The 27,887-nt window shown below is 39.6% G+C and overlaps 1 long non-coding RNA gene across 1 annotated transcript, besides 3 other annotated features; it reads right to left on the bottom strand.

Annotated features, from left to right (window-relative positions):
- Window positions 1-923: 923 nt before the first annotated feature.
- LOC105377067 (uncharacterized) lies at window positions 924-27,539 on the bottom strand. The gene is made up of 2 exons (XR_940805.3): window positions 27,151-27,539; window positions 924-2,081 (listed from the first exon to the last, which is right to left on the bottom strand). It is a non-coding gene; the product is annotated as an uncharacterized LOC105377067 (long non-coding RNA).
- Window positions 3,335-3,474: an enhancer, noted in NCBI's record as "active region_19794". NCBI's record gives its function as "activates an Ori minimal core promoter by ATAC-STARR-seq in GM12878 lymphoblastoid cells {active_cell/tissue: GM12878}" and the evidence as "EXISTENCE:reporter gene assay evidence [ECO:0000049][PMID:35858748]".
- Window positions 19,877-20,376: an enhancer, noted in NCBI's record as "H3K4me1 hESC enhancer chr3:46212129-46212628 (GRCh37/hg19 assembly coordinates)". NCBI's record gives its function as "activates a minimal SCP1, AML or CMV promoter by ChIP-STARR-seq in naive H9 embryonic stem cells {active_cell/tissue: H9 hESC(naive)}" and the evidence as "EXISTENCE:reporter gene assay evidence [ECO:0000049][PMID:30033119]".
- Window positions 20,377-20,878: an enhancer, noted in NCBI's record as "H3K4me1 hESC enhancer chr3:46211627-46212128 (GRCh37/hg19 assembly coordinates)". NCBI's record gives its function as "activates a minimal SCP1, AML or CMV promoter by ChIP-STARR-seq in naive H9 embryonic stem cells {active_cell/tissue: H9 hESC(naive)}" and the evidence as "EXISTENCE:reporter gene assay evidence [ECO:0000049][PMID:30033119]".
- Window positions 27,540-27,887: the final 348 nt, after the last annotated feature.

Below are 27,887 nucleotides of genomic sequence, written 5' to 3'. Positions count from 1 at the left end.
AAGAACAGTATTGTATTGGGGGAGAATTTGCTTGTATGCTGACATACACTATACAGCCTGAACTATAAAGATCCTGTACCAAAAAATTTTAAAGTGTAATAAACTAAAGATTAAGACAAAGATGCCAAAGTATCAACTCTCCTAACATATAAGGCAATTTTACGAATCAATAAGAAAACTAATAATATATTCCAATTATTTATTTGCTTATTTATTTATTTATTTATTTGAGACAGAGTCTCACTCCGTTGCCCAAGTTGGTGTGCAGTGGTGTGATCTCGGCTCACTGCAGCCTCTGCCTCCCGGGTTCAAGAGATTCGCACATCTCAGCCTCCCGAGTAGCTGAGATTACAGGTGCACGCCACCATACCCGGCTAATTTTTGTACTTTTAGTAGAGATGGCGTTTCACCATGTTGACCAGGCTGGTCTTGAACTCCTAACCTCAGGTAATCCACCCGCTTCAGCCTCCCAACATGCTGGGATTACAGGCCAATAACTTATTTAAATAAACAAAGATACAAACAGTCATGGAATAAATGCAATACCCATTAAAATAAAAATACTAATCATACTAGTAATAAAACAAAATGTCAATTACAATGAAATATTTCTTCTGCCTGTTAAAAATGGTGAGGAGATTTTATTTTATTAATGGAAATACCCAGTGCAGTTAAGAATGTGGCAAAATAGCCACTGCCATGTATTTTTTATTGGAATATAAATTAGTGCATTATTTCTGAAAAGCAATTTAACAATAGTTATCAAGATTGTTTAAGAAGTTCATTTGGTAATACTGCTTCTAGAAATCCATTTTAAGGAATATTGACAGATAATAGCAAAATGAAATACAGCTGGAAAATTCAAGGACTGGAGGAAGATTAAATTCGATATTGGTAAATTTGGTATATGATTCAGATATAAATAATTTTTAAAAGAATTTTTATTGACATGGGAATACACTCATAACATTGTCAAATTAAAAAAAGGGAAATATAGAATTCTTCTGGTCCACATTTTATAATATATGTGGAGAGTACAAAGACAGGAAAAGAATACACCCAAATCAGCATGGCACTCTGTGTATCAGAAGCAATATGAGACAAGGCTATGGTTCTCAAACTGTAGGGGCCACAGTGAGTTCACAGGGGTGCCATGGAATATTTCCAGTTTTCAGAGGATATACATTGATAGCTGACCCTTCTTGGACACCTTGGGAACTACTCGATTGAGGAAGTTCACAGTTCGAACATCAGATTGCAGTATATTCCTTTCACAGTTGTCATATCTTTCCAAAGCTGGGTTTTCAATGATTGCTTTGAGGTAAAATGGTGTGGGACAGAAAATGAGGGCAACAGTGTCCAACTTGATTCCAAGGTTGGAGAAGTTGGGCCTTGTCCAACAGGCACATATCCCATCGGCACTGCTTATTTAAGAGGAAAATCAAATATTATTTTTTCTTTCAATGTATGTATATTTTCTTTTCAAACAGCTATTACAAACATACCTACGTCATTTGGATCTAACCACTTAATTAATGGAACTGTTTGGTATTTCTTTTGGCCCAGGTGCACTAAGAAGAGAGTACTGAGAAATTAAGGGCACCACACGCAGAGAAAGTTTGGGGACCCCTGAGCTGAGGGATTTATTTAGGAGTGAGATTATATGCAAAGTGAGAGCTGGCGGGCAAGTCTCTCCGGGCTGTCCCCTCTGCCTGCAGTGTTGAGTGGGAAGTCTCTTCAGGTCAGCCACTCCAGCAGTCAGGAAGGAACGCCAGCTGAGGATGTGAGCAAGGATCAGATGGCACCTGTAAGGACAAGCGAGATCCTACACGGAAACTACCCGCCTTGAGGACAAACAGGAGGTTCATCTGTCTCTCGCGGCATCCAGCCACTACCTCGCTAGGAATCTGCAGAGGAAGCTGCTGCATTCACCATGGAGGTTCACATGCGCCTGGCCCAGGACTTGTACTTCCAGAGGGGAGCATGGGAGCCGGAATCCAGTGGGTCCAGGTGCCGTCCTACGCCAAAGTGAGCCTGCAGATAGACTGCAGTGTGCACAAGCCACCACAGGGCCCCGGAACCTGCTGGCACATTCACAGCGTTACATTACAGCTGTTGCTCCATTCTCTCGTGAATCTCAAGTTAGTTATATAGATCCCCGGGCCTGTGCTAACCTGGAACCCTACTGACAGTGAGTTCTGGGAAATGTAGTTCCCGTTTAAACTGACATTGTATAAAGTCATCGCAAATGAGTGATGTTAATTTTCTTCTGTATGCTTTCAGTGCTATCTAACTGAAAAAAAAAATACATATATTTTTTTAGAGCAGGATCTCACTCTGTCATCCAGGCTGGAGTGCAGTGGTGACCACAGTTCACTGCGGTCTTGAACTCCTGGACCCAAGAGATCCACCCGCCTCAACCTCCTCAGTAGCTGGGACCACAGACCCATGTCACTACACCCAGCTAATACTTTATTTTTATCCTTTGTAGAGACAGGATCTTGCTTTGTTGCCCAGGCTGGTCTTGAACTCCTGGCCTCAAGGGATACTCCTGCCTTGGCCTCCCAAAGTGCTGGGATTACAGGCATGAGCCACCAGGCTGGCCTATCCAACTTTTAAAATGGCCACATCATAAGAAAAACTATTCTTTGTGAAAAGAAAGAAAGGAAGGAGAAAGGGCAAGAAGGAGAAGAAGTCTAATGGGGGGAAAGTTGGGGAAAGAGAGTGAGAAGGAGACAGAGAAAAGAAAAAGATGAGCAGTTGCTTCTTAGAAGAACACAGTGGGATGAACATTCCGGGGTAAGGGTGTGGAGTGAATGAAGGCCAGAAGCATGACTCTCTCTGGGACCTGCACAAAGGTTAGTATGACTCCCGTCATGTGCAGGGGAGCAGGAGTGAGAGGGGGAGCATGGGGCAGTGAGTGGGCTGACTGGGACATGGGGCCAGAGCAGGAGGCTGTGATGAGTCACTGAGCTTGAGTCTCCACTTCATGAGGTGACTCCCAATGCACACTCTGAGCACAGAGTTTAAAAAGCAGGTATTTGTAAGCCAGAAGTCCCTGTGTAAGCACTTTCACATCTCTCTGAGCCTCACTTTTCATAGTAATAGAAAGGGGTACTTTAAATAATGGTAATTATATTGAATAAAGGTCTTGCCAAATAGTGACAGTTGCTCAAAACCCTCTTATCCCCATACAACTTAGTGCCCTTTCTCCTCCAAATCCCCCATGGCTCACTGCTCTCCCAGATCCCAGGCCTCTGCTGCTTCCCATTTGTAACAATGTGGATAAAGCTATGTGGGCTCCACAGAGCTACAGATAGGCATCTAATAACTACTTATTAAAAATATCTATTGGCCAGGCATGGGGGCTCATGCCTATCATCTCAGCATTTTGAGAGCCCAAGAGTTTGAGACCAACTTGGGCAACATGGCAAAACCCTGTCTCTACAAAAAATACAAAAATGAGTCACTCATGGTGGTGCACACCTGTAGTCCCAGCTATTCAGGAGGCTGAGATGGGAGGATTGTTTGAGCCCTGGAGGTCGAGGCTGCAGTGCGCCATGATCACACCACTGCACTCCAGTGTGGGTGACAGAGTGAGACCCTCCCTCAAAAAAAAAAAAAAAGCATCTGATCCAAAGTGGCCCCCTAGTTTTATTTGCACTTCTTACAAGATTTCCTCGAAAGGAAGATCAGATATATTTATCTGAAACAGTGTCACACTCCAGTGATTTCTTTGCAGTACTCTTATGTACAAGACACTTTCAGGAAGCTGACACATTGTGGCCATTCACACTTGACTTCCACTGCCTGTCAAGACAACTATTTTCCTCCTCAGCATTTGCTTAATTCTATACTTGGTTCTTGAGAGGGAGAAAAAAAAGGGGGGGAAGTCACCTCTATAATTTAAATTTTGTATATGTGTTTTTGCAAAATTGCAGAAGTTCAAGCTGCTTTATACTCTATTTGTCAAAACTTGATTTTCTTTATCATTAAAAGGAAGCAAGGCTGGCGAGGGGGTTGTCTGAAAGTAAATGTGATAGACACTACTAAATGTGACCACAGAAAGGCTTCAAGGATGTTGCCCACAGCTGTGTTCCTAAGGAGAGAGAACTAGAAACTCCCTAGAGATACAGCATTCATTTATAGCGATGAATAAAATAGACTGTTTCTGCTTTTTGTTTCTTTTTTGCATCTTTTGTATATATTGAGGGTAAAAGAGAGAAAAACAAGAAGCAAACAAAAATAAAACAAAAACCCAGGAGATTGGTTAAATTGATTTAGTGATATGCTAGAGCCAGCTTGTAGCAATTCATAAGAATCAATGGTGTGACTTCTTCCCAACTCCATATGTTATGTCATGTAGTAGCTTTAAATTAAACACTGTTGGAATATTTACACAGGGAAATTGGCAAATACTACAAATCAGGGCTTTTTTAAAAGAGATGATTGTCAAATATTTACCAGGACCTCACTGTTTATAGTATGTTCATAAAATAAAATATTAAGCTATTATCATATTAACTTCTAGAAAAACATTTCATAATATAACTATGTGTATGCAAAAAAAATGACCTTGGACCCTCACCTCACACCATGCACAAAAATTAACTGAAAACAAATCATAGACTTAAATGTAAGAGTTGAAACAATTAAACTTTTAGAAGTAAACATAGAAGTAAATCTTTAGGACTTTGGGCCAGACAGATTTCTTTTAAAAATGTGATTTATAAATGAAAAAATTGATAAAATAGACCTCATCAAAATTGAAAACCTTGCACTTCAAAAGATACCATTAAGAAAATGGAAGGACAGGAAAAACACTGGGAGAAATATTTGCAAAACACATTTATGATAAAAAGCTGGTACCAGAATTTAGAGAGTGCTTGTATAACTCAATTGTAAAAAAACAATCAAAGATAGATGCATGCTCTCACTTATAAGTGGAAGCTAAATAATAAAAACACATGGACACAAAGAGGGGAACAACAGACACTGGGGCCTACTTGAAGGTGGAGGGTGGGAGGAGGGAAAAGTTCAGAAAAAAATACTTATCGGGTACTATGCTTAGTACCTGGGTGAGGAAACAATCTGTACACCAAACCCCTGTGATGACACGAGTTTACCTACATAACAAACCTGCACATGAACCCCAGAACCTAAAACAAAAGTTAAAAGAAAAAAAATAGCCATAAAGCCTCAATTACATGGAGGAATAATTTTTGATTTCTTTGAGGTATATTGCATAGCTTGGTGAATATAGTAAATAATAATATGTTGTACATTTCAAAATTGCTAAGAGAGTAAATTTCAAATTTTTTAACACAAAATGTAAGTACTTGAGGTGATGGATATGTTAATTAGCTTGATTTGATTATTCCACATTGTATTTATACATTATAACAAAACTTTGTGTACAACAATAGTTTGTCAATTTACAATTACAAAATAAAAATTAAAAATAATAAGCAAAAAATATTAACAGACATTTCACCAAAGAAGATACATGAAAGGCTAATAAAGTATGAAAAGATGCTCAACATCATTAGTCATTAGGGAAATGCAATTGCAAATTAAAGCCACAATGAGATGCCATTTCACACATACCAAAAGGGCTGTAATAAATGAGACACACAACAGCAAGTGTTAGGAAGGGTGTGGAGAAATTAAACCCTCATGCATTGCTGGTAGGGATAAAAAATGGTATAGCTGCTTTGGAAAACAATTTAGCATTTTCTCAAAATGTTAAATATAGAGGGTTCATCTGACCTAGCAATTCCATTTCTAGGGATATATCCAAGAGAAATGAAAACATATGTCCGTAAAAAAAATTGCACATGCTTACAACAACATTATTCATTGACATGGTTTGGTTCTGTGTCCCCACCCAAATCTCATCGCAAATTGTAATCCTCAAATGTGGGGAGGGAGGGACCTGGTGGGAGGTGATTGGATCATGGGGGTGGTTTCCCCCTGCAGTTCTCATGATAGTGAGTGAGTTCTCACAAGATTTGATGGGTTTAAAAGTGTTTGGCAGTTCCCCCCTTGTACTCTCTCTGCCTGCCACCAGGTAAGACTTGCCTTGGTTCCCCTCTTCCACCAGGATTGCAAGTTTCCTGAGGCCTCCCTAGACATGTGGAACTGTTAGTTAGTTAAATGTCTTCTGTTTATAAATTACCCAGTCTCAGGTAGTATCTTTATAGCAGCATGAGAACCAACTAACACATTCATAAAAGCCAAAAAGCAGAAACATAAATATCTATCAGATGGCAAATAAATAGACAAAATGTATACCCATACAATGGAATGCTATTGGGCAATAAAAAGGAGTGAATCACTAACACATGCTGTGTGATGAGTGAACCTCAAAGCAACTGCTGAGCAAAATAAGTCAGACACAAGAAACCACATGTTGTGTGATTCCATTTACATGAAACATCCAAAAAGAATACATTTATAGAGGCAGAAAGCAGATCAATAGTTGGCTGGAGCTGGGAACAGAGAATAACTGTAAATCGGTATTTATAGGTTTCTCTCTTTTCCTTTCTTTTTTTTTTTTTTTTTTTTTTGACACAGTCTCACTCTGTCTCCTAGGCTGGAGTGCAGTGGCACAATCTCAGCTCACTGCAACCTCTGCCTCCCAGGTTCAAGTGATCCTCCTGCCTCAGTCTCCCAAGTAGCTGGAATTACAGGTGCCTGCCACCATGCTAGATTAATTTTTGTATTTTTAGTAGAGATGGTGTTTCATCATGTTGGCCAGGCTGGTCTCAAACCCCTGACTTCAAATAATCCGCCTACCTTGGCCTCCCAAAGTGCTGGGATTACAGGCGTGAGCCACTGTGCCCAAACTACATGTTTCCTACCTTTAAGACTAAAGAGTTGTACCAAATCACATAAAAGTCCATAAATTCTGTAGATGATCTCCAGTGCTCCTGGAAGTATTCAAATGCTATGAATTATGACTTCTGCTTGTGACCAAGATGGAGCAGCTTTGTTTCCTCCCAGGTCCCTTTTCTTACAACTTTAAAAACCCCTGGACATTACAAAGCATAGGAAGACTGAACAGTGGGGAGAAAGGTGACTTCCAAAGAACTTTGGGACTTGAGAAATGATGTGGCACTGAGTTCTCTGGGTTTGCTTATTGCCTCACATATATTCTGGACATAGATAGGGCTACAGGAGCCTCCAACCTGGAACTGCCAATAGGCACAGATTTTTTAAAAACTACAAGGAAAGCCTCTTCCCCCTAACCAAAAGCCTGGGAAAGGGGTGGCCAAACTAGAGAAAACCTTTGTGGCACTATGTGTGGTACTCCAGCCAAATACCCACAGCAAAATCTCACAACCTTCCCTCCTCCACAGCACGCACACACACGTAATTTCAGCGGGGCCAAGCAGGAAGCTGCTTTCCATCCTGCCCAGCCTGCACATGTGGAAGTGGGCAGCAGTGCTTCTCTGATTACTCTGCTCGATGGTGCCAGTGTCAGCAGGGCCCACAGGGATGCTAACCTTCCATCCCCCATATGGCAGAAGTAGGCTGTGCTCCAATTCTTCCACTGGGTGGTGTTTAGAGGGGCGGAGCAGAGAGCTGATCTACCATATTCTGCTCTGTGAAAGCAGGCAGTACCCAGAGATCCCCTGCCAGGACCAAGGTAGCCATGTTAGCAGGGTTCAGCAGTACCCTGAGCCTCCACCTTCACCCAGCATTAATGAGACTGAACAAAGCAATGCAAATTAGGTCTAGTAAGTGCAAGTGCTCCACTTTCCCCCCATGCCTGGTCTCAGTAGGGCCCAGTGGGGAACTAAACCTCCCCAACTACCCAGCAGCAAAAAGGCTGAACAAGATGGCATGAAGGAGAGCTGGTAGGCTGTCTTGTCTCCCCACCTCTTGGTGTCAGTGGGGACCCAAGGAACTGATCCTCCACCCTGCCCAGCATCAACGAGACTGAATAAAACAGTGTGAGGTAGGGCTAGCCACTTAACTTTTCATCTCCCCTACCAGTGTCAGGGAGTCCCTCCCCTACCCAGCAGGGAGCACAGCTTACACCTCCACTCAAGGGAGGCAGTGTCTGTTGGTGTCCCACTTTCACCCAGAGGTATCGCCAAGACCCAAGGTATCAGGGAGACCCAGTGGGGAGCTGAACTTCCACCACACCCATCTTTAAAAAGGCAATGTGAGTCAATCCTCTATTTTTGCCAGTGATGTTAGTGGGGCCTAGCTGGAAAATAAACATACACACTAATCTGCTCCTCACACTACACTTCAACAGAGGGACTATTCGAAGGAGAAAGGAAGAAGAAGAAGAAGAAGAAGAAGAAGAAGAAGAAGAAGAAGAAGAAGAAGAAGAAGAAGAAGAAGAAGAAGAAGAAGAAGAAGAAGAAGAAGAAGAAGAAGAAGAAGAAGAAGAAGAAGAGGAAGAAGAGGAAGAGGAGGAGGAGGAGGAGGAGGAGGAGGAGGAGGAGGAGGAGGAGGAGGAGGAGGAGAAAAGAAAGAAAGAAAGAAGAAGAAGAAGAGGAGAAGAAGAAGAAAAGAAAGAAAGAAAGAAAGAAAGAAAGAAGAAGAAGAAGAAGAAGAAGAAGAAGAAGAAGAAAAAGATAATTAAATAGGACTTAAAATCTACTAAAATATATTTAAATGTTTAGATACACAGTAAAAATCTCATTTGCCATAGCAAGAACCAGGAAAATCACAGCTTTAAGAAGAAAACACGCACTTTGGGAGGCCGAGGCGGGCGGATCACGAGGTCAGGAGATCGAGACCATCCCGGCTAAAACGGTGAAACCCCGTCTCTACTAAAAATACAAAAAATTAGCCGGGCGTGGTGGCGGGCGCCTGTAGTCCCAGCTACTTGGGAGGCTGAGGCAGGAGAATGGCGTGAACCCGGGAGGCGGAGCTTGCAGTGAGCCGAGATCCCGCCACTGCACTCCAGCCTGGGCGACAGAGCGAGACTCCGTCTCAAAAAAAAAAAAAAAAAAAAAGAAGAAAACACAATCAACATATGCCAACACTGAGATGAATCAGATGTTAGAATTATCTGACAAAGATTTTATAGTAGCCATCATAAAAATGTTTCAACAAGAAATTAATGATCCCTTGACATTTTTTTAAATAAATGATTTCATCAGAGACACAGACCTTATCAAAATAATCAAATGAAAATTATATAACTGAAAACTAAAATAACTGAAATAAAAAATTTGCTGGATGGGCTTAATAGTAGAATGGAGGTGATAGAGGATAAAAATCAGTAAACTTGAGGAGAGATGAAAACACAATCTAAACAGAGAGAAAATAGACTGAAAAAAAATGAACAGTGTCTCAGGAATCTGTAGAATAATAACAAAAGGGATAGCATTCATATCATCAAAGTCCCAAAAGAAGAGGAAAAAAAGAATGGATATGAAAAAAGTGTTCAAAGAAATAATGGCTGAAAACTTCTCAAATCTGACATAGGATAAACCTAAAGAAATCCATGCAAAGACACATAATACTTACATTCCTGAAAACTAAAAACAAACAAACAAATCTTGAATGCTTCCAGAGAGAAATGACACATTACTTATAGATAGATGAATATCAACATGAATGACTGCATATTTGACATACGAATCCATGGAGACCAGAAGGAAATGGCACAATATTTTTCAAGGGCTGAAAGAAAATAAATGTTAACTGTGAATTCTAAATCTTATGAAAATATCCTTTATGAATAAAGAGAAAATAAAGACGTTCCTCAACAAAGGAAAGTTAAAAGAATTTATTGCAAGCAAGCCTACCTGTAAAAATAGCTAAAGAAGTTATCTGAACAGAAAGGAAATTATAATAGAAGACTTGGAACTTCAGAAAAAAAAATAAGAATGGAATTACTAAAAATAAGGGTAGGCCGGGTGCAGTGGCTCATGCCTGTAATCCCAGCACTTTGGGAGGCGGAGGCGGGCTGATCACTTGAGGTCAGGAGTTTGAGACGTGCCTGGCCAACATGGTGAAACCCTATCTCTACTAAAAGCACAAAAATGAGTTGGGTGTGGTGGCGGGTGCCTATAATCCCAGATACTTGGGAGGCTGAGGCAGGAGAATGGCTTGAACCCAGGAGGTGGAGGTTTCAGTGAGCTGAGATCACCTCACTGCATTCCAGCCTGGGTGACAGAGCGAGACTTTGTCGCAAAAAAAAAAAAAATATATATATATATATGTGTGTGTGTGTGTGTATATATATATGTGTATATATATATGTGTATATATATGTGTATATATATATACACATATATGTGTGTGTGTATATATACATATATGTGTGTATATATACACATACATATACATATATATGTGTGTGTATATATATACACACATATATATATACACACACACATGGGTAAATATTGTAGACCATTCTTCTTTTCATGAGCTTCTAAAATTACACTTAACACTTGAAGCAAAAAGTTTAGCACCATCTGATGTGGTATTTAATGTACAAAGAGAAAATACTTAGGACTATTATTATTGAAAAGTGAGGAGGGGCTGAGTGCGGTGGCTCACGCCTGTAATCCCAGCACTTTGGGAGGCCGAGGAGGGCGGATCACGAGGTCAGGAGATCGAGACTATCCTGGCTAACACGGTGAAACCCTGTCTCTACTAAAATTTTAAAAAAATACAAAAAATTAGCTGGATGTGGTGGCAGGCGCCTGTAGTCCCAGCTACTCGGGAGGCTGAGGCAGGAGAATGGCGTGAACCCAGGAGGCAGAGCTTGCAGTGAGCCGAGCTCGTGCCACTGCACTCCAGCTTGGGCGACAGAGCGCGACTCCGTCTCAAAAAAAAAAAAAAAAAAAAAGAAAAAGAAAAAGAGAAAGAAAAGTGAGGAGGATAAAAGGACCTAAATGGAAATAAAATTTCTACACTTCATTTGGACTGGTAAAATATCAATACCAGTAGACTGTGATAAGTTATATGTATCCATGCTAAGAACATACTTATACATAGAACGATGACTAAGATAAACATACCAAGCGACATACTAAAAACACTATAAATAAATCAAGATGAAATTATTAAAAATGTCCAAGTAACCCACAGGAAGACAAGAAAAGAGAAACCAGGGTACAAGAAATGGAGGGAACAAACAGAAAATAGGTAATAAAATGGCAGACTTAGAATGCCCTAACATATCAATAATTACCTTAAATGTAAATTGTTGAAATATTCCAATTAAAAAGCAAAAATTGGCAAAGTGAATAAAATAACCATTATTTAAGAACATGCTGCTACAAGAAACTCACTTTAGATATAGCAGCATAGGTAAGTTAAAAGTAAAAGGCTGGGACACGATATACTATGCAAGCCTTAATAATAATTGAAAAAAAGGAGGAGTGACTATGTGAATATAATATAAAGCAGGCTTTGGAGCAAAGAAAATTACTAGAGACAAAGAGAGACATGACATAATAATAAAAGAATTAATCCATGAGGAATACATATGATCCTAAAGGTGTATGCACCAAACAATAGAGCATAAAAATACATGATGCAAAAAGTGATAAACATGAAAGGAAAAATAGACAAATTCACAAGTGTATACGGAACTTCCACACCCTACTCTCGGTAACTTATAGAACTATTAGACAGAGAAACAGCAAGGATATAGAAGAACTGAACAGCACAATCAATCATCAGGAGCAATTGACATTTATAGAACATTCCACCTGACAACAGCAGAATTCACATTTTTTAAGTGCCCATGGAATATTTACCAAAATTGACAATATCCTGGGCCAAAAATAACACCCCAACATATTTTTAAAAATTGAAATTATATAAGATTACGAGATCTGTTCTTTGACCACGACAACAGGAAAACACTTGGAAATTAAACAGCACACTTCTAGAGACAAAGAGGGACATGACATAATAATAAAAGAATCAATCCGTGATTGATCAAAACAATGCATGGATCAAAGATGAAGTTTTGGAAGAAATAAAGCAAAATATACAAGTGAATGAAAACAAAAATGTAGTAGTCTATCAAGATATGAGTGAGGCCGCTAAAATAGTGCTGACAGGAAAATTTACAGCACTAAACACGTTAAAAAATTTAAAAGGTCTCAAATAAATAGTCTAAATTTCTACTTCAAGAAACTAAAAAAGAAGAGCTAAATAAACCCAAAGCATGCACAAAGAAGGAAATAATAAGATACTTGGTGTTAGCAACTATCTTTTCTGTCCACAATGGTATAAGACTAGAAAACAATAATAGGAAGAATTTTGGAAAACTCACAAATACATGAAAATGAACCAACACACTCTGGAACAACCCATAGATCAAAGAAAAAAAATCAAAAAGAAAATCAAAAAGTTTCTTGAGACAAATTAAAATGGAAACACCACATACCAAAACTTAAGGGATGCAGCAAAAACAGTGCTAAGAGGGGAGTTTATTGCAATGTATGCCTACATTAAGAAAAAAGAAAGATCTCAAATAAAAAACTTAACTTCACACCTCAAAGGACTAGAAAAAGAAAAACAAACTGTCTGCGCATGGTGGCTCACACCTGTAGTCCCAGCCACTCAGGAGGCTGAGGTGGGAGGATTACTTGAGGCCAGGAATTCAAGACTAACCTGGGCAACATAGTAAGACCCCATCTCTACAAAAAGTAATTTAAAAATTATTCAGGCACAGTGACTCACACCTGTAGTCCCAGTTACTTGGGAGGCTGAGGTGGGAGGAATGCTTGAGCCCAAGAGTTCGAGACTGCAGTGAGATATGATTGGGTCACTGCACTCCAGCCTGAGTGACAGGACAAGACCTATCTCTATAAATAATAAAAATTTAAAAAAGAAGAAACTAAGCCCAAAATCAGAAAAAGGAGGGAAATAATAAAGATTGAGCAGAAATAAATGACATAGAGACTAGAAAGATAATAGAAAAAGATCAGTGAAACTGAGTTTCATTGACAAAATTGACAATGAGCTAGACAAACTAAGAATGAAAGGACTAAACAAACAGGGTCTGGAGTGCACCTCTAGCAAACTCCAACAGACCTGCAGCTGAGGGTCCTGTCTGTTAGAAGGAAAGCTAACAAACAGAAAGGACATCCACACCAAAAACCCATCAGTACTTCACCATCATCAAAGACCAAAGGTAGATAAAACCACAAAGATGGGAAAAAAACAGAGCAGAAAAACTGGAAACTCTAAAAATCAGAGCGCCTCTCCTCCTCCAAAGGAACGCAGCTCCTCACCAGCAACGGAACAAAGCTGGATGGAGAATGACTTTGACAAGTTGAGAGAAGAAGGCTTCAGACGATCAAACTACTCCAAGCTACAGGAGGAAATTCGAAACAATGGCAAAGAAGTTAAAACATTTGAAAAAAAATTAGACGAATGGATAACTAGAATAAACAATGCAGAGAAGTCCTTAAAGGACCTGATGGAGCTGAAAACCAAGGCACGAGAGCTACGTGATGAATGCAGAAGCCTCAGTAGCCAATGCGATCAACTGGAAGAAAGGGTATCAGCGATGGAAGACAAAATGAATGAAATGAAGCGTGAAGAGAAGTTTAGAGAAAAAAGAATAAAAAGAAACGAACAAAACCTCCAAGAAATATGGGATTATGTGAAAAGACCAAATCTACATCTGATTGGTGTACCTGAAAGTGACAGGGAGAATGGAACCAAGTTGGAAAACACTCTGCAGGATATTATCCAGGAGACCTTCCCCCATCTAGCAAGGCAGGCCAACATTCAAATTCAGGAAATACAGAGAACACCACAAAGATACTCCTCGAGAGGAGCAACTCCAAGACACATAATTGTCAGATTCACCAAAGTTGAAATGAAGGAAAAAATGTTAAGGGCAGCCAGAGAGAAAGGTCTGGTTACCCACAAGGGGAAGCCCATCAGACTAACAGAGGATCTCTTGGCAGAAACTCTACAAGCCAGAAGAGAGTGGGGACCAATAATCAACATTCTTAAAGGAAAGAATTTTCAACCCAGAATCTCATATCCAGCCAAACTAAGCTTCATAAGTGAAGGAGAAATAAAATACTTTACAGACAAGCAAATGCTGAGAGATTTTGTCACCACCAGGCCTGCCCTAAAAGAGCTCCTGAAGGAAGCACTAAACATGGAAAGGAACAACCAGTACCAGCCACTGCAAACACATGCCAAATTCTAACGACCATCAATGCTAGAAAGAAACTGCATCAACTAATGAGCAAAATAACCAGCTAACATCATAATGACAGGATCAAATTCACACATAACAATATTAACTTTAAATGTAAATTGGCTAAATGCTCCAATTAAAAGACACAGACTGGCAAATTGGATAAAGAGTCAAGACCCATCAGTGTGCTGTATTCAGGAAACCCATCTCACGTGCAGAGACACACATAGGCTCAAAATAAAGGGATGGAGGAAGATCTACCAAGCAAATGGAAAACAAAAAAAGGCAGGGGTTGCAATCCTAGTCTCTGATAAAACAGACTTTAAACCAACAAAGATCAAAAGAGACAAAGAAGGCCATTACATAATGGTAAAGGGATCCATTCAACAAGAAGAGCTAACTATCCTAAATATATTTCACCCAATACAGGAGCACCCAGATTCATAAAACAAGTTCTTAGTGACCTAAAAAGAGACTTAGACTCCCACACAATAATAATGGGAGACTTTAACACCCCACTGCAACATTAGACAGATCAACGAGACAGAAAGTTAACAAGGATACCCAGGAATTGAACTCAGCTCTGCACCAAGCGGACCTAATAGACATCTACAGAACTCTCCACCCCAAATCAACAGAATATACATTCTTTACAGCCATACACCACACCTACTCCAAAATTGACCACATAGTTGTAAGTAAAGCACTCCTCAGCAAATGTAAAAGAATAGAAATTATAACAAACTGTCTCTCAGACCACAGTGCAATCAAACTAGAACTCGGGATTAAGAAACTCACTCAAAACCGCTCAACTACATGGAAACTGAACAACCTGCTCCTGAATGACTACTGGGTAAATAATGAAATGAAGGCAGAAATAAAGATGTTCTTTGAAACCAACGAGAACAAAGACACATCATACCAGAATCTCTGGGACACATTCAAAGGAGTGTGTAGAGGGAAATTTATAGCACTAAATGCCCACAAGAGAAAGTAGGAAAGATCTAAAATTGACACCCTAACATCACAATTAAAAGAACTAGAAAAGCAAGAGCAAACACATTCAAAAGCTAGCAGAAGGCAAGAAATAACTAAAATCAGAGCAGACCTGAAGGAAATAGAGACACAAAAAACCCTTCAAAAAGTTAATGAATCCAGGAGCTGGTTTTTTGAAAAGATCAACAAAATTGATAGACCACTAGCAAGACTCATAAAGAAGAAAAGAGAGAAGAATCAAATAGATGCTACCTGACTTCAAACTATACTACAAGGCTACAGTAACCAAAACAGCATGGTACTGGTACCAAAACAGAGATATAGACCAATGGAACAGAACAGAGCCCTCAGAAATAATGCCACATATCTACAACTATCTGATCTTTGACAAACCTGAGAAAAACAAGCAATGGGGAAAGGATTCCCTATTTAATAAATGGTGCTGGGAAAACTCGCTAGCCATATGTAGAAAGCTGAAACTGGATCCCTTCCTTACACCTTATACAAAAATTAATTCAAGATGGATTAAAGACTTAAACATTAGACCTAAAACCATAAAAACCCTAGAAGAAAACCTAGGCAATACCATTCAGGACATAGGCATGGGCAAGGACTTCATGACTAAAACACAAAAGCAATGGCCACAAAAGCCAAAATTGACAAATGGGATCTAGTTAAACTAATGAGCTTCTGCACAGCAAAAGAAACTACCATCAGAGTGAACAGGCAACCTACAAAATGGGAGAAAATTTTTGCAACCTAGTCATCTGACAAAGGGCTAATATCCAGAATCTACAATGAACTCAAACAAATTTACAAGAAAAAAACAAACAACCCCATCAAAAAGTGGGCAAAGGACATGAACAGACACTTCTCAAAAGAAGACATTTATGCAGCCAAAAAACACATGAAAAAATGCTCATCATCACTGGCCATCAGAGAAATGCAAATCAAAACCACAATGAGATACCATCTCACACCAGTTAGAATGGCAATCATTAAAAAGTCAGGAAAGAACAGGTGCTGGAGAGGATGTGGAGAAATAGGAACACTTTTACACTGTTGGTGGGACTGTAAACTAGTTCAACCATTGTGGAAGTCAGTATGGCGATTCCTCAGGGATCTAGAACTAGAAATACCATTTGACCCAGCCATCCCATTACTGGGTACATACCCAAAGGATTATAAATCATGCTGCTATAAAGACACGTGCACACGTATGTTTATAGTGGCACTATTCACAATAGCAAAGACTTGGAACCAACCCAAATGTCCAACAATGATAGACTGGATTAAGGAACTGTGGCATATATACACCATGGAATACTATGCAGCCATAAAAATGATGAGTTCATGTCCTTTGTAGGGACATGGATGAAACTGGAAACCATCATTCTCAGCAAATTATCACAAGGACATAAAACCAAACACCGCATGTTCTCACTCATAGGTGGGAATTGAACAATGAGAACACATGGACACAGGAAGGGGAACATCACACTCTGGGGACTGTTGTGGGGTGGGGGGAGAGGGGAGGGATAGCATTAGGAGATATACCTAATGCTAAATGGCAAGTTAATGGGTGCAGCACACCAACACGGCACATGTATACATATGTAACAAACCTGCACGTTGTGCACGTGTACCCTAAAACTTAAAGTATAATAATAATAAAATTTTTAAAAAAAAGAAATTTCAAAACCTAAAAAAAAAAGGACTAAAATAAGTGAAAGTGTAAGTGAAAGGGGAGACATTACAACTGATACCACAGAAATACAAATAACTATAATAGACTACTATAAACAACTATGCCTCAAACTGTGTAACTCAGAAAAGATGAATAAATTCCTAGAAATACAACCTACAAAGCATGAATTATGAAGAAATAGACAATCTGAACAAACCAATAACAAATAAGAAGATTGGATCAGTATTCACAAACCTCCTAACCTCCCAACCTCAAAAAGCCCAAGACTAGATGTCTTCACAGGTTAATTCTACCAAACAGTTAAATAAGAATTAATACCAGTCCTTCTCAAACTTGTCCAAAAAAATTGAAGAGATGGGAATATTTTCAAACTCATTTCATTACAGCATTACCCTGATACCAAAGCCAGATAAGTACACTATAAGAAAAGAAAATCACAGGCCAGTATCCCTGAACATAGATGCAATAATCTTCAACAAAATGCGAGCAAACCAAATTCAACAGCACACTGAGTGGATCATATACCATGACCAAACTGGATTTATCCCTGGGATGTAAGGATGTTACAACATATACAAATCAATAAATATGATACACCACATTGACAGAATGAAATTGAATCCTTGACTTACACCATATACAAAAATTAACTTGAAATGAATTAAAGACTTAAATGTAAGATCTGAAACCATAAAACTCCTAGAAGAAAACATAGGGAAGATTCCTTGAAATTGATCTTGGCAATGATTTTTTTGTATATGACACAAAAAGCACAGGCAACAAAAGCAAAAAGAAACACTGCAGCCTGGGCAACAGAGTAAATGAGACTCTATCTCAAAAATACATAAACAAGGGGGACTACATCAAATGAAAAATCTTCTGCAGAGCAAAGAGCACAATCAACACAAATGAAAAGACAACCCATGGAATGGGAAGAAAATGTGCAAACCATATACCGGATAAGAAATTGATATCCAAAATGTATGAAGAACTCACACAACTCAATAGCAAAACACATATAACCTGATTGAAAAATGGGCAAAGGACAAGAATAGACATTTTTTATTGCAAATGGTCAATGAGTATATAAAGTCACTCAATATTACCAGTCCTCAGAGAAATGCAAATTAAAACCACAATGAGATATCACCTCACACTTGTTAGGATGGCTATTCTCAAAAAGACATGAGATTATAAGTGTTGGTGAGGGTATGTAGAAAAGGGAACCTTTGTACACTGTTTGTGGGAATGTAAATTGGTATAGCCATTATGGAAAACAGTACAGAGGATCCTCAAAAAAATAAAATAGAACTACTACATGATCCAGCAATTTCACTTCTGGGTATATATCCAAAGGAAAAGAAATCAGTATCTTAAAGAGGTATTGGCATCCCCATTTCATTGCAGGATTATTCATGATAGCCAAGACACAGAAACAAACTAATTGTCCATCAATAGATGAATGAATAAAGACAATGTGGTATATAAACACAATGGAACATTATTCAGTCTTAAAAAATAAGGAAATTCTGCCATTTATAGCAACATGAGTGAACTGGAAGACATTAGGATTAGTGAAATAAGCCAGACACAGAAAGACAAATACTGTATGATCTCACTTATATGTGGAATTTTAAAAAGTTGAACTCATAGAAGCAGAGAGTAGAACAATGATTACGAAGGGCTAAGGGAGTGGAGATAAAGGAAATATTGGCCAAAAGGTACAAACTTTCAGTTACGAAATGAACAAGTTCCAGCTATCTGAGGTATAGCATGGGTGATGATGAATGTGTAATTTATGTAATTGTGGTAATCATTACAAGATGCATATGTATATCAAATTATCACATTGTACACCTTGAATATATACAATCTTTAATTATCACATTGTACACCTTGAATATATACAATCTTTATTTGTCAATTAAATATTTTAAAATAAGGAAATATAAAGATAAGAACAGAATCAATGAAATTGAAAATTAAAACAATAGAAAAAAATCAATGAGAAAAATAAGCTACTTCTTCAAAAAAATCAGTAAAAGTGATAAATCTCTAGTGCTGTAATCCCAGCACTTTGAGAGGCCGAGGCAGGAGGATTGTGTGAACTCAGGAATTTGGGACCAGCCTGGGCAACATAGTGAGATCTCTTCTCTACTAAAATTCAAAAAAATTTAGCCAGGTGTGGTGGTGCACACCTATAGTCTCAGCTACTCAGGGGGCTAAGGCAGGAGGATCATTTGAGTCCTGATTGTGCCACTTCATTCTATCTAGCCTGGGCACTAGAGCAGGAACCTTTCTCAAAAAAGAGAAAAAGACATAAATAACCAGTATCAGAAATGAAACAGGAATACTAAAAGGATACTACATATAACTCTAGTGTCATAAATTCAATGACATATAAAAAATGGACTGAATACTTAAAAACCACAAACTGCCAAAACTCAACCAATATGAGATAGATAATGTGACTAGTATAATAACCATTAAAGATATTAAATTTGTAAATAAAAAGCTCCTCATAAAGAAATCAAGGACCAGAAGGCTTCATTGGAGAATTCTACCAAATATTTAAAAAAGAATTAGTACCAATTTTGCTTAATATCTTCCTGAAGGTAAAAGAGGGAACACTTCCTAACTCACTTTTTGAGGCAGGTATTATCCTGTTATCAAACTCAAAGAGGCAGACAGTATAAACAAATAACACAAAAGGCCATGAACTTAGACACAAAAATCCTCAACAAAACATTAGTAATAAAACAGTGTATAAAATAATTGTACACCATGAAAAAACGGGATTTATTCCAAGTACAAAAGGTTGTTTCAACATTTAACAATCAACCAATGTAACTCACCATATCAACAGGCTAAAGAAGAAAACAGTATATTCATACCATTAGGTACAGAAAAATCATTTGACAAAATCCAACATCTGTTAATGATGAAAAACTCTCAGCAAGGTAGGAACAGACAGGTGCTTCCTCAACGTGATAAAAAGCGTCCTCAAAGCCTAGAGATAACATACCTGATGGTGAAAGAATGAATACTTTCCCCCTAAAACAAGTAACATGGGAAGGATGTACATTCTCACCATTCTTATTCAACATACAACTGAGATAAAGGCATATAGATTGGAAAGGAAGAAGTAAAACTGTCTCTATTTGCAGATGATATCATTGTCTACATAGAACATCCCAAGGGAATCTAACAAAAAAATCTTCTAGTACTAATAAATGAGTTCACCAAGTTTGCAGGAACAAGATCAATGCACAAAAATCAATTGTGGTTTATTTCATCTCTGTGCTTACTACAAACATTCTTAGCATCACTCGCACCACACGGCCTGAGCCAAGCTGAGCCTCTGCTGCAGCTACTGTGGCCCTGCTGCTTGATGCAGACACCCACCAAGCACTTTGCAGACTCATATCCACCCTGCAGGCCATTCCACATGGCAGGGCCAGGCCTGGGGAGACTGTGTCCAGGGACAGGCCATGCAATGACATCCCCCACCCCTTCCACCTTTACCCAGAGGGCAGGCAGTAGCCCAGCATGCCCAGCTGGTGCCAGGGCAGGCACAATGCTAAGTAGGGGTGGGGTGGCCTAACCCAGGGACTAGGGCCAGGGAGAGAGCTGGGCACCAAGAAGAGGGTGGGGCAAGTAGTGCCAAAGACTTGCTGGGCACTGTGGTGCATCTCCGGGCCAAGGACTGTTGCTGCTGCTGCCCCTTCATTACACATTCAAGTGAAAATTTTTCAGAAGTCAGCAGAAATATTGTGTTAAGAAAAAAAAAAAGACTGAGTTGCAGTTATCACCAAACCCAGGAGAATACACTCCCTGGAAAACTTCCCTTCAAAATAAAAAAGTAGAGCCCAAGACTCTAGCTTGACTGCTTCCAGCTCAGTGGTCCTACATCTGCCTGAATTTACCAAGGTGTGCAGCCTCCTGTTGTTCTGAAAACATCTGGATAGCAGGACTGGCAACTCCCCCACCTGCATAGCCAGATAGGCCACACCTGCTAGAGTTTCCAACCTAGCAGTCCTACTTCCACCTGAACTCTCCAGGAAGATTCAAACTTGTGTTTCCCCAAGAAGCACATGACAGCCGATTAGGGCCAACAATGTCTTGTTGGTCAACTTCATCCTCAACCTGAGGAAACCCTGTGGACCAGAATACCCAACAAAGAAATGCAGACACAGAGGTAGGAATTGGAGGGGACTCCTCCAAGACCCAGAAGCAGACTAGAATTGAAGCCAGTCAACAAAACACACTTTATACCATAATCAAACCCCCCAGGGCATCAAAGAAGAAAAAAGCAAACCAGTTCATCCAAAGTACAGCAATTTCAAAGACTGAAGGAACATCAGCCCACATAAATTAGAAAGAACCAGTGCAACAACTCTGGCAACTCAAAAAGCCAGAGTGCCTTCTTTCTTCCAAACGACTGCAATAGTTCTCTGGAAAGGGTTCTTAAGCAGGCTGAGATGGCAGAAATGACAGAAATCAAATTCAGAATATGGGTAGGAACCAAGATCATCGAGATTCAGGAGAATATTGAAACCCAATCCAAGGAAATGAAGAGTCACGATAAAATGATACAAAAGCTGACAGACAAAATAGCCAGTATAGAAAAGAATACAGTCAACTTGATAGAGACGAAAAACACACTACAAGAATTTCATAATGCAATCACTAGTATTAAAAGCAGAATAGACCAAGCTAAGGAAAGAATCTCAAAGTTTAAAGACTGGCTTTCTGAAATGTGACAGTCAGACAAGAATAAAGAAAAAAGAATGAAAAGGAATAAAGAAAACCTTCAAGAAATACGGAATTACATAGAGACTAAATCTATGCTTCACTGGCATTCCTGAAAGAAATGGGGAGAAAGGAAGCAACTTAGAAAACATTTCAGAATATCATCCATGAAGATTTCCCCAACCTAGCTGGTAAGGCCAACATTCAAATTCAGGAAATGCAGAGAATCCCTGCAAGTTACTTCACAATTGGATCATCCCCAAGACACATAATCATCAGATTCTCCAAGATTGAAATGAAAGAAAAAATGTTAAAGGCAGCTAAAGAAAAAGGACAGGCCACCTACAAATAGAAGCCCATCAGACTAACAGCAGAACTCTCAGCAGGAACCCTATAAGCCAGAAAAGATTGGGTGCCTATATTCAACATTCTTAAAGCAAAGAAATTATAACCAAGATTTTTTCACATCTGGCCAAAATAGTTTCATAAGCAAAGAAGAAATAAGACTCCTTTCACACAAACAAATGCTAAAGGAATTTGTTACCAGCATACCAGCCTTACCAGAGATCCTGAAAGAAGCACTAAATATGGAAAGAAAAGACCATTACCAGCCACTGCAAAAATACTTAAGTACATGGACCAGTGACTGTAAAGCAACCACACAAAGAAGTCTGCATAGTAACCAGCTAACAACATGATAACAGGATCAAACCACACGTATCAATGATTTACCTTGAATGTTAATGGGCTAAATGCCCCAGTTAAAAGGCACAGAGTGGCAACCTGGATAAGAAGCTAGACCCAATAGTATGCTGTCTTCAAGAGACCCAACTCTTGTGCAATGACACCCATAGTCTCAAAATAAAAGGATGGAGAAAAACCTACCAAGCAAATGGAAAACACAAAAAAGCAGGGGTTGCAATTCTAATTTCAGACAAAGCAGACTTTAAACCAACAAAGAACAAAAAAGACAAAGAAGGGGCCTGGCGCGGTGGCTCACACCTGTAATCCCAGCACTTTGGGAGGCCAAGGTGGGCAGATCACAAGGTCAGGAGCTCGAGACCACCCTGGCTAACACAGTGAAACCCTGTCTCTACTAAAAATACAGAAAAATTAGCTGAGTGTGGTGGCGGGCCCCTGTAGTCCCAGATACTCAGGAGGCTGAGGAAGGAGAATGGCAGGAACCTGGGAGGCAGAGCTTGCAGTGAGCCGAGATCACGCCACCGCACTCCAGCCTGGGTGACAGAGTGAGATCCATCTCAAAACAAAACAAAGACAAAGAAGGGCATTACATAATGGTAAAGGGTTCAATTAAACAAGAAGATCTAACTATCCTAACTCTGTAAGCACCCAACACAGGTGTGCCCAGATTCATAAAGCAATTTCTTAGAGACTTACAAAGAGACTGAGATTTATACACAATAAAATGGGACACTTCAAACCCCACTGACAGTATTAGACAGATTATCAAACCAAAAAATTCACAAAGAGATTCCAGACCTGAACTTAATGCTTGAACAAATGGACCTAATAGACATATACAAAACTCTCCACCAAAGGCAATAGAGTATGCATTCTTTTCATTGCCACATGGTACGTACTCTAAAATTGACCATTCAGTTGGACATAAAACAATCCTCAGCAAACTCAAAAAAAATTTAAATCATACTAACTATACTCTCGAACCACAGCACAATAAAAGTAGAAATTGAGGCCAAGAAAATTGCTCAAAACCATACAATTACATGGAAACTGAACAACTTGCTCCTGAATGACTCTTGGGTAAGTAATAAAATTCAGGCAGAAATCAAGAGGTTATTTTAAACTAATGAAAACAAAGACACAACACACGAGAATCTCTGGGACACAGCTAAGGCATTGTTAAGAGGGAATTTTGTAGCACTAAATGCCCACATCAAAAATCTAGAAAGATCTCAAATAACAACCTAACATCACAACTAGAAGAACTAGAGAACCAAGAGCAAACAAACCCCAAACTAGCAGAAGACAAGAAATAACCAAAATCAGAGGCAAACTGAAAGAGATAGAGACATGAAAAAGCATACAAAAGATTAACAAATCCAGGAATTTGTTCTTGAAAAAATTAATAAGATAGACCACTAGCTAGATTAATAAAGAAGAAAAGAGAGAAGATTCAAATAAACACAATCAGAAATGACAAAGAGGATGTTATCACTGACCTTGCAGAAATACAAATAACCGTAAGAGACTACTATGAACACCTTTATGTACACAAACTAGAAAATCTAAAATAAATAGATAAATTCCTGGACACATGCATCCTCCCAACAGTGAGTCAAGAATAAGTCCCTGAACAGACAAATAACGAGCTTGGAAATTATCAGTAATAAATAGCCTACCAACAAAAAAAGCCAAGGACCAGAAGGATTCACAGCTGAATTCTACCAGATGCACAAAGAAGAGCTGGTACTATTTCTACTGAAATTATTCCAAAAATTTGAAAAGGAGGGATTCCTCCCTAACTCATTCTATGAGGCCAGCATCATCCTGATACCAAAACCTGACATAGACACACATACACAAAAGGAAACTTTAGGCCAATATCCTTGATGACCCATAGATTCAAAAATCCTCAACAAAATACTAGCAAACAGAATCCAGCAGCACATCAAAAACCTAATCCACAATGATCAAAGTAGGCTTTATCCCTGGGATTCATGGTTGGTTCAACATGTACACATCAATAAATGTGATTCATCACATAACCAAACCAAAGACCAAAACACATGATTATCGCAATCGATGCAGAAAAGGCTTTCAATAAAATTCAACATTGCTTCATGTTAAAAACCCTCAATAAACTAAGCCTTAAAGGAACATACCTCAAAATAATAAGAGCTATCTATGACAAACCCGTAGCCAACATTATACTAAATGGGCAAAAGCTGAAGGCATTCCCCTTGAAAACCAGCAGAAGAAAATGATGCCCACTCTTACCACTCCTATTGAACATAGAATTGGAAGTTCTGGCCAAAGCAATCAGGCAAGAGAAACAAAAGGCATCCAAATAGGAAGAGAGGAAGTCAAACCATCCCTGTTTGCAGATGACATGATTCTATATCTACAAAACCCCAGAATCTCCACCCAAAAGCTCCTTGAGCTGATAAGCAACTTTAGCAAAGTTTGGGGATACAAATCAATGTACAAAAATCAGTAGCATTCCTATACTCTAAGAGCACCCAAACCAAGAGCCAAATCAGGAACATGATCCCATTCACGACTGCCACAAAAAGAATAAAATACTTAGGAATACAGCTAACCAAGAAGGTGAAAGATCTCTACAATGAGAATTACAAAACACGTTCAAAGAAGTCAAAGATGACACAAACAAATGGAAGAACATTCCATGCTCATGGGTAGGAAGAATCAATATTGTTAAAATGGCCATGCTGCCCAAAGCAATTTATAGATTCAATGCCATTCCTATCAAACTACCAATGACATTCCTCACAGAACAGAAAAAACTATTCTAAAATTTATATAAAACCTGAAAAAGAGCCCAAATAACCAAAGCAATCCTAAGCAAAAAGAACAAAGCTGGAGGAATCACATTACCCAACTTCAAACCATACTACAAGGCTACAGTAACCAAAACAGTATGGTACTGGTACAAAAACAGACACATAGACCAATGGAACAGAATAGGCAGCCCAGAAATAGAGCCATACACCTACAACTATCTGATCTTTGACAAAGCTGACAAAAATAAGCGATGGGGAAAAGACTCCCTATTCAATAAATGGGGCAGGGATAACTGGCTAGCAATATACAAAAGATTGGAACTGGTCCCCTTCCTTATACCATATACAAAAATCAACTCAAGATGGATTAAAGACCTAAATGTAAAACCTAAAACTATAAAAACCCTGGAATAAACCAAGAATATATCATTTTGGATACAGAATCTGGCAAAGATTTCATAATGAAAATGCCAAAAGCAATTGCAACAAAAGCAAAAATTTACAAATGGGACCTCATTAAACTAAAGAGTTTCTGCACAGCAAAAGAAACTATCAATAGAGTAAATAGGAAACCTACAGAATGAGAGAAAATATTTGCAAATTATACATCTGACAAAGGTCTAATATCCAGAATCTACAAGGAACTTAAACAAATGTACAAGCAAAAAACAACCCGATTAAGAAGTGGGCAAAGGATATGAACAGATACTTTTCAAAAGAAGACATATATGTGGCCAAAAAGCATGTGAAAAGATGCTCAATATCACTGATAATTAGAGAAATGCAAATCAAATCCACAATGAGATACCATCTCACACCAGTCAGAATGGCTATTTTAAAAGGTCAAATAATAACAGATGCCGGAGAGGTTGTGGAGAAAAAGGAACCTTTATACACTGCTGTGGGAGTGTAAATTAGTTCAACCATTGTGGAAGACAGTGTGGCAATTCCTCAAAGAACTGAAGACAGAACTACCATTCAACCTAGCACTTCCACTACTGGGTACTGCTAGGGTTGTTTATATACCCAAAGGAATATAAAGAGTTCTACCAGAAAGACACATGCATTTGTATGTTCATTGCAGCACTGTTCACAATAGCAAAGACATGGAATAAACCTAAATGCCAATCAATGGTAAACTGGATAAAGAAAATGTGGTACATATACACCATGGAATATTACACAGCTATAAAAAAGAACAAGATTATGTCCTTTGTAGGAACATGGATGGAACTGGAGGCCCTTATCCTCAGCAAACTAATGCAGGCGCAGAAAACCAAATACCACATGTTCTCACTTAGAAGCGGGAGCTAAATAATGAGAACACATGGACAGAAAGAGAGGAACAACAGACACTGGAGCCTATTCATGGGAGGAAGGTGGGAGAAGGGAGAGGTTCAGAAAAAAAATCAAACTATCAGGTACTATCCTTAGTACCCGGGTGACAAAATAATCTGTACACCAAACCCCCAAGTCACAAGTTTACCTATATAACAAACCTACACATGTATCCCTGCACCTAAAATAAAAGTTAAAATATTTATTTTAAAATTGGAAGTTGGGGCCACGATGGCCGATTAGAAGCAGCTACAGGGTGTGGCACTCACGGAGATGGACAAAAGGGGTGAGTAAATTCAGCACCTTCAACTAAAACATCCAGGTGCTCACATTAGGACTGATCAGAGAAACTGTTCAACCCACGGAGAATGTAGAAAAGCAGGGCAGGATGTCAGCCCACCCAGGAGCAACACAGACCCAAGGGAACCCCCACTCCCAGCCAAGAGAAGCCGTGAGTGAATGTGTGACCCAGGGAAACCATGCTTCTCCCACAGATTTTTGCAACCCTCAGATCAGGAGATCCCCCTCATGAACCCACTCCACCAGGGCCTTGGGTCTGACACACAGAGCTGTGTGGAGTCACAGCAGAGCAGCTGCTTAGGCATGCACAGAGGCCCAGGAGCTTTACATAATCTACTCTGGGATCTTTGGCAAACATGACTACAACTTAAGCAAGACAAGAGGTCCATACATACCCTTAGGAAGAGGGCTGAATCCAGGAAGCAGAGCAGCGTCAGTCTGTGGGCCCCACTTCCAAGGGACCTCACAGGATAAGATCAACTGGCTTGGAATTCCAGCCAGCCACCAGCAACAGGGTAGCACCTACTTGAGACAGGGTAGAGCTCCTGGGGGAGGGATGGGCTGCCACCTTTTTTGTTTGGATGACTCAGCCGTTCCAGCCTGTGGGCTTTGGAGGGTCCAAATGAACCAGACAAGAAAGGGATTCGCCCAGCACAACACAGCTGCTTTACCAAAATGTGGGCAGACTCCTTCTTTAAGTGGGACCCTGATCCACTCCTGCTCACTGGGCTGGACTTCCCATCCGGGGCCTCCAGCCACCCTCACCCATATTCTAAAGAGTTCTGATTTCTCCCTGGGACAGAGTGCCTGCGGGGAGGGGCAGGCCACCACCTGTGTTGTTTGGATGACTCAGCCATTCCAACCTGTGGGCTTTGGAGAGTACAAACTGACCAGACAAGAAAGGGATCTCCCAGCATACCACAGCTGGTTTACCAAATTGTGGCCAGACTGCTTCTTTAAGCGGGACCCTGATCCATTCCTCCTCACTGGGCAGGACCTCCCATCCAGGACCTTCAGCCACCCCAACTCATATCCTATGGCTGACAGAGTTCAAATTTCTCCCTAGGACAGAGTGACCACTAGGAGGGGCAGGCTGCCACCTTTGCTGTTTGGGTCACTCGGGTATTCCAGC

The sequence above is a fragment of the Homo sapiens genome, chromosome 3 (genome assembly GCF_000001405.40).
Source record: "Homo sapiens chromosome 3, GRCh38.p14 Primary Assembly".
Taxonomy (NCBI): domain Eukaryota; kingdom Metazoa; phylum Chordata; class Mammalia; order Primates; family Hominidae; genus Homo; species Homo sapiens.
The sequence above is the reverse complement of the archived record's forward strand: the minus strand, read 5'-3'. Positions and strand labels throughout refer to the sequence as shown.